The sequence below is a fragment of the Homo sapiens genome, chromosome 1 (assembly GCF_000001405.40).
Source record: "Homo sapiens chromosome 1, GRCh38.p14 Primary Assembly".
NCBI lineage: Eukaryota > Metazoa > Chordata > Mammalia > Primates > Hominidae > Homo > Homo sapiens.
Genome location: NC_000001.11, coordinates 205404301 through 205418289, shown reverse-complemented (window position 1 = coordinate 205418289; position 13989 = coordinate 205404301). Strand labels below are relative to the sequence as shown.

Sequence of the window (13989 nt, the reverse complement as noted above, 5' to 3'; positions counted from 1 at the left end):
CAAGGCATTTCCATTCAACAAATATTTATCATGAGTTCTCTATGAGCCACAGTAGAATGACAGGAACTACCATTTATTGAAGGCCACCAGTGCAACCTGGGCCGAATGCTCATCATCCCATTTAACTCTCACAGCACTTAGTAGAAGCTCAGAGAGGCCAAGTGACTGGCCCAGCATCACTGAGCTCGGAAGCAGCCCCAGAAGATAAGCATACGTTAGCACGGGCCATGCAGAGCGGGACCCATCTGTCTTTGTCACCACTCTGTGTCCAGCTCCTGGAACAGTTCCAGGCACATAGCAGAACTTGGTGTATGTTTGTTGGATGAAAGAAAGTGAGAGAACTGAGATTTGGACCCAGTCTGGCTCTCCAAACTTTGCTCTTTCCACTCCATACCCTACATTTTTCTCGTAATTTCTATTGTGAGCGTGTGACCACATTACATTTTTTTTTTTTTTTACCATGTCTGATCTACAAAAAAAGGACAATATCATATAGTTCAAATTAAAAACTGGATAAACCATGCAAGTGCCTGGGGCCCTCTGAAAAATCCTGTAATCCCGACATTGGAGGCGGCACAGATACTGAAAGCTTTCCCCAGGGGTTTTGCACCGCTGGCCTCACTTGAAAAGGATGGCAAGGTTTAGGGATAAACTTCACTGGCCCTTGAGCAGGCAGTTAGCACGGGGGTGCCTCAGGGAAAGTGGCTACCCCAGGCCTCTCCTGGTTGTAGATTGTGTTCAGAGTCCTGTCCCAGATCCAAGCCTGCTTCTGTTTCCTGCCCTGGGGAGGGGCTCAAGAGACCAAACCAACACTCTGGTGAAAAGCAATGCCAGGTTGAAGATTTCAGAACTGTTCACGACTTCCCAGGACTTCGGGTTAAAGCTACAAAACCAAGCTGTTGTGGTCTCAGTCCCCGCCGTCCTGGGTCCCAGCATGTAGCCCTCTACAGAAGTGCGTTGATGCTAGGGCTAGGAGAAAATTGGTCCTTCTGTTTATAAGGTTTGCCACTGCTTTAGATAGTGCCTACCTGATCTAAGCCAACTACGGGCCATCAGGTCGAGGTGGAAGCGTTGATTCAGTCCTACCCTTGTAATGCAATTCTGTGGTTGCCACAAGTAGCAAACCTGGTTCTCCAAGTTAGGTTTGAACCATACATTTGAATTTGCTCATTGGAAAAGTCTCATAGCCACTGGTACCATTAGAGTGGAGGAGTTGTAATGAACTGGACGGGGGTATCCTGTGGACTTAGCCTTCTCCTTTCATGGAAACACCTAGTCCTGGAATGGGCTTGTAGTGGCGGTGGAGGTGCAGGGAGTCCTAGACCTGAGGCTGAGTATGAGGTCATCCAAACAATCAGTGGGTTTGATTTTTCTCATTTTCACTAACTGACTGTCTTGTCAGTGGGGAGACACAGCTTTAATTATCTAACTGCTTTCAAACTTTCCAAATATTTTTGACTTGGAGAGCTCATTTAAAATGGATGTGCAACTCCACCATTCCTCTAGGTTTATCAAAATGCTTCTTTGCAGGCTAATTAACAACATCCTTTTCCGTCCCTAGCAGTTCCCCCAATTTTAAAGGCTTTTAGCACAGGTCTGGCCTTGCCTTCCCTGGGTGCCTTTTTGGATCCAGAAGGAGAAAATCCTCCCTTCCTATCTTGGCATTCAGGGATGCATGGGGCTTACAGCTGGTTCAAAGGGACAATGACTAGACTGCAAACAGCTGCCCAGATGGGCAGCCAGCTTGTGTATTTCTCTTGGAGGCATGCAAATATGACAGGCCTTATTCCCAGAGGAAGGCCTAAGTCTGTTTCACAAAGGCTGCTCCAGCTCAGGAGAAATGTTCTCTTCCGTCAGAAGAGCCACGTGAATTTTCATCCCCTTGCAAAAATGTCCTCTAATTGAGAGAATTCACCCTGGTGATTGATGTTTATTCCCTTTGCTAGCTCAAATGTTCTCATGGCCTATTTTCCTTTTGTTTCCCATGATCCAGAGCTTAATATCATTTTGCAAGGAAATATCATACTCTCAACAGAAAAAAGCAAGAAACTCAAAAAAGTATGTACCATTCTAATGCCTGAATACTTATACCCATATATTAAAAACAGGGAGTAGCTCTGTTCATCTGTATTAAGAAAGGGGATAGCAAGTCACTACATTCTGTTATAGTGGTAAAATCCTAGTTTAAAGAGGATCATTTTAATGCAGATTTCTGTATGATGAAAAAATTTCCATGATCTAGCAGAGGACCCAGAATGACAGGGTCCCTCCTGCCCCTTCTTAAAAAAGCCACCACTCTGCTTTCCCCAGCTGTCACGCCCCCTCCCCATTTTCACTATCTGTTGTCTACATTCACATATAGCACTTAGCTTGGTTCTGGGCCCACAGTGAACATAGAATAAATGTGAGTTTCCATCCCGTTCGCTTTTCTAGCCCCTAACATCTGGCTTCTACCCCCAGCACCGTATTGAAGCACACGGCCAAATGTGTGAGGGTTACAGGTTTTGGGGTGAGGCCTAACTGGCTTAGGATTTCTGCCCTCAGCTTCCTGGAAGCGTGATTTTGGGGAAGTCAGTGAACAGATCTAAGCCTCCTAGCACAGTTTAACAGCAGTGCCTACCTCACAGGGTGGATGCGAAGTTAAAGGCAGGAAAATCTCTGAGCATCAAACACAGCCCATAACTAGTGCTTAATAATGAACTCCAAGGTGCCAACTCTAGTGACTTTTTCTGTCTTTTGACCTCTGACCATTTTTATTTGGAGATGCCTGCCTTCTTAGATTTCAGAATTCTGCCACTCTTTGGTTCTTGGTTCTGTATCTCTGTTTCTATTCTGACTTTTTGTCTTCCTCTTGGCCCCTGATGTGCCTGTGCCTGAGACCTCCTCCTTCAGCCTCTGCTCAGTGTGATTCCCTCACCCCCTCTTTGCGGCGTCCCCACACACGCTTCTCTCCTGAGGCACAGGTCTGCATATCCAACTGCCTACTGGGAAGTGCCTCCCTTTTCCTTCTCTTTCCCTTCCTTCCTCGCTTCTTCCTGCATTCATTTGACAAATGGTTACCTAACTTCATGAACATTTTGTGGGTTACACAGACGTGTTCATGCTTCTCCCCATGGTTATCCCCCTGTACCTCAGGCTCAGGTGTCCAGGAATGACCATGCACATTTCAGCCCACCCTAAACCTGCATCTGCGGCCTGGGTTTATCCTGATGTTTCCACAACCTCCCCACTGTCCAGGCTCAAAGCCTTGGAGTTACTGGACTGCCCCCTCCCTGCAGCTCTTCACATACAAAGAGCTGCCAAGTCTTAGGGATCTGAATGATGTTAAAAAATCCATCCCTTCTGTCTCTTCCCCCTGCTGCTATCCTAGCTTGCACCCACATTACTTATTTATTTATTTTAGAGACAGGGTCTCATTCTGTTACCCAGGCTGGAGTGCAGTGGCACCATGATATCTCACTGTAATCTCGAACTCCTGGGCTCAAGCAATACTCCTCCCTCAGCCTCCCAAGTAGCTAGGACTACAGGTACACTCCACCACACCTGGGTAACTGAAAAACAATTCTGGCCGGGCATGGTGGCTTACTCCTGTAATCCCAGCACTTTAGGAGGCCAAGGTGGAAGGATTGCCTGAGCTCAAGAGTTCAAGACTCAGCCTGGGCAACCTAGGGAGACCATGTCTCTACAAAATAAAAAAACTGGCTGGGTGTGGTGGTGCACACCTGTGATCCCAGCTACTTGGGGGGCTGAGGTGGGAGGACTGCTTGAGCCTGGGAGGTTGAGGCTGCAGTGAGCCATGATCACACCACTACACTCCAGCCTGGGCAATAGCATGAGACCCCATCTCAAAAAAAACTTTTTTTTTTTTTGTAGAGACAGGGGTCTCACGCTGTCGCCCAGGCTGGTCTCGAACTCTTGGCCTCGAGTGATCCTCTTGCCTTGGCCTCTCAAAGCACTGGGATTACAGGCATCAGCCACCTTGCCCGGCCTCCATATTATTATTTTATTTGAACAATTGCAAAATCCTCCTGTGTTTGCCTCTAACTTTTCCCAATTCCAGTTCAGATCTACAAGCAGAGATTTAATCATGTTACTGACTTGTCCAGAGACTTTCAAAACAAGATGCAAACTTGCTATACACCATGAGTCAACTCCAGTATCTCCTGTAACCTCATCTCCCTCATCATCCAACCCAACAAATTCTTACCTTGTTTCTGCACCTCTCACACTGTCTTCCCATGAACCATTACTTCAACTGTTCTTTATGCCTGAAATTCTTTTCACTCTTCTCACCCCCTACCACATTTTTCTTCCTGTTAAAACCCTGTGATCTTTTAAGGAATATCTCAATGGCCACTTCTGTGAGTCCTTTTAAAATGGCATTAAGATGGGTGGATCACTTGAGGCCAGGAGTTCGAGACCAGTCTGGCTAACATGGCGAAACCCTGTCTCTACTAAAAATACAAAAAATTATCTGGGCATGGTGGCATGTGTCTGTTGTCCCAGCTACTCAGGAGGCTAAGGCACAAGAATCACTTGAACTCGGGAGGCAGAGGTTGCAATGAGCCGAGATTGTGCAGCTACACTCCAGCTTGGGTGACAGAGTGAGAGGAGACTCTCAAAAAAAAAAAAAATGGCATTTTATCCTGGGCAACATAGCAACACCTCATATCTCCAAAAAAAAAAAAAAAAAAAAAAAAAAGTTGGGCATGGTGACACGCACATGTCATCCCAGCTATTCAGGAGGCTGAGGTAGGAGGCTGGCTTGAGCCCAGGAGTTTGAGACCAGCCTGGGAAAGATGGTGACACCTCATCTCTACAAAAATTGTAAAAATTAACTGTACATGGTGATGCGCACCTGTGGTCCCAGCTACTCAGGAGGCTGAGGTAGGAGAATCTCTTGAGGCTTGGGATGTCGAGGCTGCAGTAAGCCATGATGACACCACTGCACTCTAGCCTGGGTGACAGAGCGAGACCCTGTCTCAAAAAAATAATAAAAATTAAAATAAAAAATAAAATGATATTTTATCCTCATTTAGTAGCTATCACAGGGTCTTGCACATAGTAGGAGTTCAAAGCTCACCTCACCAAATCTACCAAACAGCTCCAATGGCAAAAAGGTTAGTTTGCAAATATGGTCTGGTATTTAAACTAGTTGCTAAGTTTAAACAAATGAAAAGAAATCTTCAAGTAAACATTGCCATGTATGCTATAGCTTCAGCTTCCCGTTTAAACATAGTTCAAATTTGATGAAGTAATTCTGATATCATACCAAAATTTCTAAAAGTATATTTTAACTTCCAAATAGCTCATTAAAGGAATCCTTTCCATTCGGTAAACCTCAGTTCTGCAGAAAACCCTTTAATATAGTTCCTGCAAAGATGCTGCAGCAGAAAAAGCAACCTGAGTATGGCAAATGCATCAGCTAGGACCAGTGGCCTTCGGTCTCCACTTTACATAAACCTGAAATAAAACCACATCGATATTTTGAATTGGCAATAGAATTAAATAGGAAGTTTGCGATGGCATAAAATGTTTTGATTTGAAGGATTTATATAAGCCATTTTCATTCTCAGAAGGGCCTCAAGACATCTGTTCATCCTTAAATCTGAAAGGAAATGTAAATAAGCATTCACATTTCCATGTAAAAGGTGGTAGAAGGTGTATTTATTGAGACACTTGTCTAACACTGTAGACTTTAATTACTTAAGAGCATTTGTTTGTACCTAACAGTCTTCTGAGTGCCTAGATAGGTAGTATTTGCATTTCTTTGAAATACCACATTTTCCTCTCATTTTTAGTTGTTTTCTAGTGGAATGCAAGCCACTTAGAGATATGGAATATGCAGTTTCTGGACTCTTTTTAACACTGTATGTGTCTGCTTTATCAAATCACATATGCAGCCCATTGGATTTGGTCGTTAAAAACACTCATTAAGCCAGGTCAAATTTTTTTTTTTAATTGGGGATTTTTTCCATCAGAAAGACACTAGGCACAGCTTATGTTACCAATAACGGAGTGGGACATTAAGTCAGTATGTGTAACTCAGTCTCTAAGTGCCCTTCTACCAAACGGGAAAATGGGATTTGGGGTTGATTGGTAGGGAGGCAGAGTAATCTACAATGTCAAGCTACATAAAATGGGCTTTGAGTAAGGTGGCCGTATAATTTATCATCCTGACCAGTATGCTTTTGAAAAAGGACACTAACCTGAAGGGATGCTGGAACAATAGGAGTAAACTGGGACTATCTTGGGCAAATAGGGGCAAATGGTCCTGGGTTTGGGAGCGGTTCCAAGGTTGGAAGTGTTTATATCTGTGTCCCATCTTCAGAGGGCTGCTGCATCCAACAACCAGAGGGCAGCTGGCCCTGGGAGGTGTGTACTTCTGAGCCCTCCTGGGCCACCTGGGTGTTTCTTTACCCTCTCCCAAGCACAACATGCTCGTCCCTGCCAGAATCTCAGTTTACTCTGTTCTCCCAGCCTGCATGCTCTCTTCTCATCTTCCCACCCATCCTGCACATTCTGTGGGTCTGGGCCCAAGAATCAGTCTTTCTTTTCTTTTCTTTCTTTCTCTTTCTTTCTTTCTTCCTTTTTCTTTCTTTCTTTCTTTCTTTCTTTTCTTTCTTTCTTTCTTTCCTTTCTTTCTCTTTTCCTTCCTTCCTTCCTTCTTTCCTTCTTTCCTTCCTACCTTCCTTCCTTCCTTTCCTCTCTCCTTCTTTCTTTTTTTTTTTTTTGAGACGGAGTCTCACTCTGTGGCCTAGGCTGGAGTGCAGTGGCACAATCTTGGCTCACTGCAAGCTCCGCCTCCCGGGTTCACGCCATTCTCCTGCCTCTGCCTCTCCGGGTAGCTGGGACTACATGCGCCCGCCACCACGCCCGGCTAAATTTTTGTATTTTTAGTAGAGAAGGGGTTTCATCGTGGTCTTGATCTCCTGACCTCGTGATCCGCCCGCCTCGGCCTCCCAAAGTGCTGGGATTACAGGCGTGAGCCACTGCGCCTGGCCCTCTCTTTCTTTCTTCTTTCTTTTTCCTTCCTTCCTTCCTTCCTTTCCCTCCCTCCCTCCTTCCTTCCTTTCTTTCTTTCTTCCTTCCTTCCTTCCTTTCCTTCTTTCCTTCTTTCTCTCTCTCTTTCTTCTTTCTTTTTCCTTCCTTCCTTTCTTTCCCTCCCTCCCTCCTTCCTTTCTTTCTTTTTTCTTTCTTCTTTTTCCTTCATTTCTTTCTTTCCCTCTCTCCCTTCCTGCCTTCCTTCCTTCTTTCCCTTCCTTCCTTCCTCTCTCCCTCCCTCCTTTTCTTTTCTTTCCTTCCTTCCTTTCTTTCCTTCTTTCTTTCTCTATTTCTTCCTTTCCCTTCCTTTCTTTCTCTTTTCTTTCCTGTCCTTCCTTCCTTCCTTCCTTTGCTTTCTTTTCTTTTCTTTCTTTCCTTTCTCACGGAGACTCATTCTGTTGCCCAGGCTGGAGTGCAGTGGCATCATCATAATTCACTGCAGCCTTGACCTCCTTGAGCTCAAGTTAACCTCTGGCCTCAGCCTCCCAAGTAGCTGGGACTACAGGCACGGGGCACCATGCCTCGCTACTTTTTCATTCAGTCTCCACCCCACCCCTGCCCAGGAGTTTTTGCCGCAGGCTGTAAAATGTTGAAGGTGAAAACCCATAATTTGACTCCTCTGCATTGAATTCCATGCCAGGCATTTGGGGGTGGGGCAGGGACTTACTCAGTCCCTGTTGGCTGAACTGAAAGGAGCTTTCCTCTACTGATGTTGATGATCTTTCTCTTTCTGACTTCCTATTCTGTACCATATACGTTGTCTCTTAGATGTACCTTGATGTAGTCTCTTGAGAGATGATGCTTAGATCATTGTGAATGGATGACCATTCAGGGAATGGTTGCAACAGAGTTTCCACCCCTGGATCTCAGCCTGTGAGTCAATAACTATTTATTGAATACAGGACATTGTGCTAGATTTTCTTGAGGAAGAATATAAGTGCAGAAAAAGGCATAGATCCTATCATGAAGAAACTTGAAAATGAGCTCTGGAAACAAAGAATATGGGTATCAAAAATATGGATTCTGCCAGGTGTGGTGGCTCATGCTTGTAATATTGGCACTTTGGGAGGCTGAGGCAGGAGGATCACTTGAGCCCAGGAGTGCAAGACCAGTTTGGGCAACATGACAAGAACCCATCTCTACAAGAAAAATAAAAATAAATTAACTGGGGGCTGGGCACGGTGGCTCACGCCTGTAATCCCAGCACTTTGGGAGGCCGAGGTGGGTAGATCACCTGAGGTCAGGAGTTCAAGACCAACCATGGCCAACATGGTGAAACTCCATCTCTACTAAAAATACAAAAAAATTAGCTGGGCGTGGTGGTGCATGCCTGTAATCCCAGATACTCCAGAGGCTGAGGCAGGAGAATCACTTGAACCCAGGAGGTGGAGGTTGCAGTGAGCTGAGATAGTGCCATTGCCCTCCAGCCTGGGCAACAAGCGCAAAACTCTGTCTCAAAAAAAAAAAAAAATTAATTAACTGGGCATAGTGGCACGCATGCTTGTGGTCCCAAGCTACTCAGGAGGCTGAGGCAGGAGGATTGCTTGAGCTTAGGAGGTTGAGGCTGCAGTGAGCCAAGTTCATGCCACTGTACTCCAGCCTGGGCAACAGAGTGAGGCCTTCTCTTAAAAAAAAAAAAAGACTGTAGAGCCAGACTGCCTGGGTTCAAATCTCAGCTCTACTACTAACTTGGACAAGACACTCAACCTCTCTATGTCTTAGTTTCCTCATCTATAAATAAGGTTAAGAACAGTATCAACCTCACAGAGTGTTGTGAAGATTGAGTTAAAATATGCAAAGCAGGGTAGTATATGTATATGTAATAAGAGGCAAGTACAAATAAGAGCTATTATTATCATTAACATTATTGTTACATGAAAAGCATGATATTTAATTACCTGTAGTACAACACAACATACTTAGTGAAAAATAACATAATGGAAAATGAATGTTTAGTATTGAACTTTTAAGTGCTGCAGAATGTGATTTATCGAGAGCCTACAGATATATTTATAGAAGTAAATATACAGATACAATTAAAGATTACTTTCTGTAAGCCCTGCGTGTTGAATGAGGCAGACTGAACTTTAAAAAACAATAATATGCCGGCCAGGCTTGGTGGCTTATGCCTGTAATCCCAGCACTTTGAGAGGCTGAGGTGGGTGGATTGCTTGAGCCCGGGAGTTCAAGATCAGCCTGGGCAACACGGTGAAACCCTGTCTCTACTAAAAACACAAAAAATTAGCCCGGTGTGGTGGTGCACACCTGTGGTCTCAGCTACTTGACAGGCTGAGGTGGGAGGATCACCTGAGCCCAGGATCTCAGATCATGCCACTTGCACTCCTGCCTGGGTCACAGAGGCCTTGTTTTTTGTTGTTGTTGTTTGTTTAAGTCACATGTGCCCTTCCGGTATTTGGGACTCCTTCTTAATCTTATACTTAAATTTAGCTGAGCTTGATGGCTCGCTTCTTTAATCTCAGCACTTTGGGAGGTCAAGGAGGGAGGATCACTTGAGCCCAGGAGTTCGAGACTAGCCTGGGCAACATGGCAAAACCCCATCTCTACAATAATTGCAAAAAAATTAGCTGGGCATGGTGGTGTGCACCTGTGGTCCCAGCTACTTGGGAGGCCAAGGTGAAAGGATGGCTTGAGCCCAGGTCGAGGCTGCAGTGAGCCGTGATGGCACCAATGCACTCCAGCTTGGGTGACAGAGTGAGATCCTGTCTCAAAAAAAAAAAAAAAAGAAAGAAAGAAAGAAAGAAAAAGTTATTAAATCTTTTTCCACACCTCTCGAAATATTTTCAAACTTACAGAAACTTGCAAGGATAGTACAAACACCTCCCACATTCCTTCCACTCCAGTTCCTCAGTTGGTACCTGGTACCACATTTGAGGAGTGTGTGTGTGTGTGTGTGTGTACCCTACCATTGTCTCTTTCTGAATGATTTGAGAGCAAATTGCAGACATGAAGCCCCTGGGCTCCCCAGTAAGTATTCTGCCTACCAAAGGACACTCTCCTACATAACCACCATATGATCCTCCAGATAAGGAAATCCACGCTGATTCATTGCTTCCAACCAGTACTCAGACCCCATGCAAGTTTCACCAACTGTCCCAACGATGTCTTTTTGCTTTCTCATCCACAACCACTCCAGGAACACACGCTCTCTTTAGTTGTCATCTCTTCCTTCTCCTTCGATCTGGAGCCACGGTGCCTCAGTCTTTCCCTGTCATTCCTGCCCTTGACAGTTTTCAAGAGTACAGGCCATTCATTCTGTAGGGTTACTAGGAACTATCTCTACCCACAAAACACTTGTGATGCCAAATGTGTGGGTTTTTTTCCTCATGCCAACCAGTTCTCCAACTCTCCAGACACCAGCCAGGTATCCAACAATTCAGTAGAATTCTGACACTATAGACCTGGAGTTAGCGTCAGATCCCACAGGTTAAGGGGCTCAGTCCAGCCCCCGACTTAAAATGCCAATCTCAAGTCCTGGGTCTCCCATACTTCTAACTGACTCACTAAAAATCAAGGGTTCCCACAACACCTTGGATTTGCTAACTTGCTAGAACAGCTTGCAGAACTCAGGAGTGCTCTTTCCTTACCAGTGTATTTTAAAGGATACAGCTCAGAAACAGCCAATGGGAGAGATGCAGGGGGCAAGGTCTAGGGCAAGAGACGCAGAGTTTCCATGCTTTCTCTGGGCGCGCTGCCCTCTAAGTACCTTAATGCGTTCACCAACTCAGAAACTCTCTAAACTCTGTCTTTTAGGAGTTTTATGGAGGTTCTGTTACTTACGCATGATTGACTGAATCATTGGCTATCAGTGATTAATTCAACCTTCAGCTCCCCTCCTCTACCTGGAGGTCAGGGGGTGGGGCTCCAAGTTCAAATCCTTTTTTTTTTTTTTTTTTTTGAGATGGGGTCTTTCTGTGTTGCCCAGGCTGGAGTGCAATGGTGCGATTTCAGCTTACTGCAACCTCCCCCTCCCAGGTTCAACCAGTTCTCCTGCCTCAGCCTCCCAAGTAGCTGGGATTACAGGCACGTGCTGCCACACCTGGCTAATTTTTATATTTTTAGTAAAAACAGGGTTTCATCATGTTGGCTAGGCTGGTCTTGAACTCCTGACCTCGTGATCCACCCGCCTCAGGCTCTCAAAGTGCTGGGATTACAGGTCTAAGCCACCGTGCCCAGTCCCAAGTTCAAATCTTCTTATCACATGGTTGGCCTTTCTGACGACCAGACCCCATTTTGAAGCTGTCTAAGGGTCTTTGGGCACCAGCCAACTCATTAGCATACAAAAAGATAACTCTTGTAGCTCCAGAGATTCCAAGGGTCCTTAGAAGTTCTTGTGTCAGGAACCTAGGAATAAGACAAAAATATTGGGGGGAGGAGCCAAGATGGCCAAATAGGAACAGCTCCTGTCTACAGCTCCCAGCGTGAGCGACACAGAAGACGCTGTGATTTCGGCATTTCCATCTGAGGTACCAGGTTCATCTCACTGGGGAGTGTCAGACAGTGGGCGCAGGACAGTGGGTGCAGCGCACCATGTGCGAGCCAAAGCAGGGTGAGGCATTGCCTCACTCTGGAAGCACAAGGGGTCAGGGAGTTCCCTTTCCTGGTCAAGGAAAGGGGTGACAGATGGCACCTGGAAAATCGGGCCACTCCCACTCGAATACTGCGCTTTTCCGACAGGCTTAGGAAACGGTGCACCAGGAGATTATATCCCACACCTGGATGTGAGGGTCCTACGCCCACAGAGTCTCGCTGATTGCTAGCACAGCAGTCTGAGATCAAACTGCAAGGCGGCAGCCAGGCTGGGGGAGGGGCGCCCGCCATTGCCCAGGCTCGCTTAGGTAAACAAAGCAGCCAGGAAGCTCGAACTGGGTGGAGCCCACCACAGCTCAAGGAGGCCTGCCTGCCTCTGTAGGCTCCACCTCTGGGGGCAGGGCACAGACAAACAAAAAGACAGCAGTAACCTTTGCAGACTTAAATGTCCCTGTCTGACAGCTTTGAGGAGAGCAGTGGTTCTCCCAGTACGCAGCTGGAGATCTGAGAATGGGCAGACTGCCTCCTCAAGTGGGTCCCTGACCCCTGACCCCCGAGCAGCCTAACTGGGAGGCACCCCCCAGTAGGGGCAGACTGACACCTCACACAGCCGGGTACTCCTCTGAGACAAAACTTCCAGAGGAACGATCAGACAGCAGCATTCGTGGATCACGAAAATCCGCGGTTCTGCAGACACCGCTGCTGATACCCAGGCAAACGGGGTCTGGAGTGGACCTCTAGCAAACTCCAACAGACCTGCAGCTGAGGTTCCTGTCTGTTAGAAGGAAAACTAACAAACAGAAAGGACATCCACACCAAAAACCCATCTGTACATCACCATCATCAAAGACCAAAAGTAGATAAAACCACAAAGATGGGGAAAAAAACAGAGCAGAAAAACTGGAAACTCTAAAAAGCAGAGCGCCTCTCCTCCTCCAAAGGAACGCAGTTCCTCACCAACAACGGAACAAAGCTGGATGGAGAATGACTTTGACAAGTTGAGAGAAGAAGGCTTCAGACGATCAAACTACTCCGAGCTACAGGAGGAAATTCAAACCAAAGGCAAAGAAGTTGAAAACTTTGAAAAAAATTTAGATGAATGTATAACTAGAATAACCAATACAGAGAAGTGCTTAAAGGAGCTGATGGAGCTGAAAGCCAAGGCTCAAGAACTACTTGAAGAATGCAGAAGCCTCAGGAGCCGATGCGATCAACTGGAAGAAAGTGTATCAGTGATGGAAGATGAATGAATGAAATGAAGCGAGAAGGGAAGTTTAGAGAAAAAAGAATAAAAAGAAACGAACAAAGCCTCCAAGAAATATGGGACTATGTGAAAAGACCAAATCTGTGTCTGATTGGTGTACCTGAAAGTGACGGGGAGAATGGAACCAAGTTGGAAAATACTCTGCAGGATATTATCCAGGAGAACTTCCCCAATCTAGCAAGGCAGGCCAACATTCAGATTCAGGAAATACAGAGAACGCCACAAAGATACTCCTCGAGAAGAGCAACTCCAAGACACATAATTGTCAGATTCGCCAAAGTTGAAATGAAGGAAAAAATGTTAAGGGCAGCCAGAGAGAAAAGTCGGGTTACCCACAAAGGGAAGCCCATCAGACTAACAGCGGATCTCTCAGCAGAAACTCTTACAAGCCAGAAGAGAGTGGGGGCCAATATTCAACATTCTTAAAGAAAAGAATTTTCAACCCAGAATTTCATATCCAGCCAAACTAAGTTTCATAAGTGAAGGAGAAATAAAATACTTTACCGACAAGCAAATGCTGAGAGATTTTGTCACCACCAGGCCTGCCCTAAAAGAGCTCCTGAAGGAAGCACTAAACATGGAAAGGCACAACCAGTACCAGCCACTGCAAAATCATGCCAAAATGTAAAGACCATCGAGACTAGGAAGAAACTGCATCAACTAACGAGCAAAATAACCAGCTAGCATCATAATGACAGGATCAAATTCACACATAACAATATTAACTTTAAATGTAAATGGACTAAATGCTCCAATTAAAAGACACAGACTAGCAAATTGGATAAAGAGTCAAGAGCCATCAGTGTGCTGTGTTCAGGAAACCCATCTCACGTGCAGAGACACACATAGGCTCAAAATAAAAGGATGGAGGAAGATCTACCAAGCAAATGGAAAACAAAAAAAGGCAGGGGTTGCAATCCTAGTATCTGAAAAACAGACTTTAAACCAACAAAGATCAAAAGAGACAAAGAAGGCCATTACATAATGGTAAAGGGATCAATTCAACAAGAAGAGCTAACTTTCCTAAATATATATGCACCCAATACAGGAGCACCCAGATTCATAAAGCAAGTCCTGAGTGACCTACAAAGAGACTTAGACTCCCACACAATAATAATGGGAGACTTTAACAC

The 13989-nt window shown here is 45.4% G+C and overlaps 1 protein-coding gene across 9 annotated transcripts in view, besides 1 other annotated feature; it reads left to right on the top strand.

The window, feature by feature from the left end:
- The window catches only part of LEMD1 (LEM domain containing 1), a 68589-nt gene that overhangs the window by 31677 nt on the left and 22923 nt on the right, over positions 1-13989 (top strand). For 5 of the 9 annotated variants that reach the window (NM_001199051.2, XM_011510163.3, NM_001199050.2 and 2 more), the window contains one exon: positions 1994-2058. The exons of the other annotated variants lie outside the window; for them this stretch is intronic. In NM_001199051.2, the coding sequence (NP_001185980.1) occupies positions 1994-2058 (65 nt within the window). The remainder of the gene's footprint in view (positions 1-1993; positions 2059-13989) is intronic. 9 annotated transcript variants of the gene reach the window in all.
- Positions 7280-7780: an enhancer, noted in NCBI's record as "H3K4me1 hESC enhancer chr1:205379638-205380138 (GRCh37/hg19 assembly coordinates)". NCBI's record gives its function as "activates a minimal SCP1, AML or CMV promoter by ChIP-STARR-seq in naive H9 embryonic stem cells {active_cell/tissue: H9 hESC(naive)}" and the evidence as "EXISTENCE:reporter gene assay evidence [ECO:0000049][PMID:30033119]".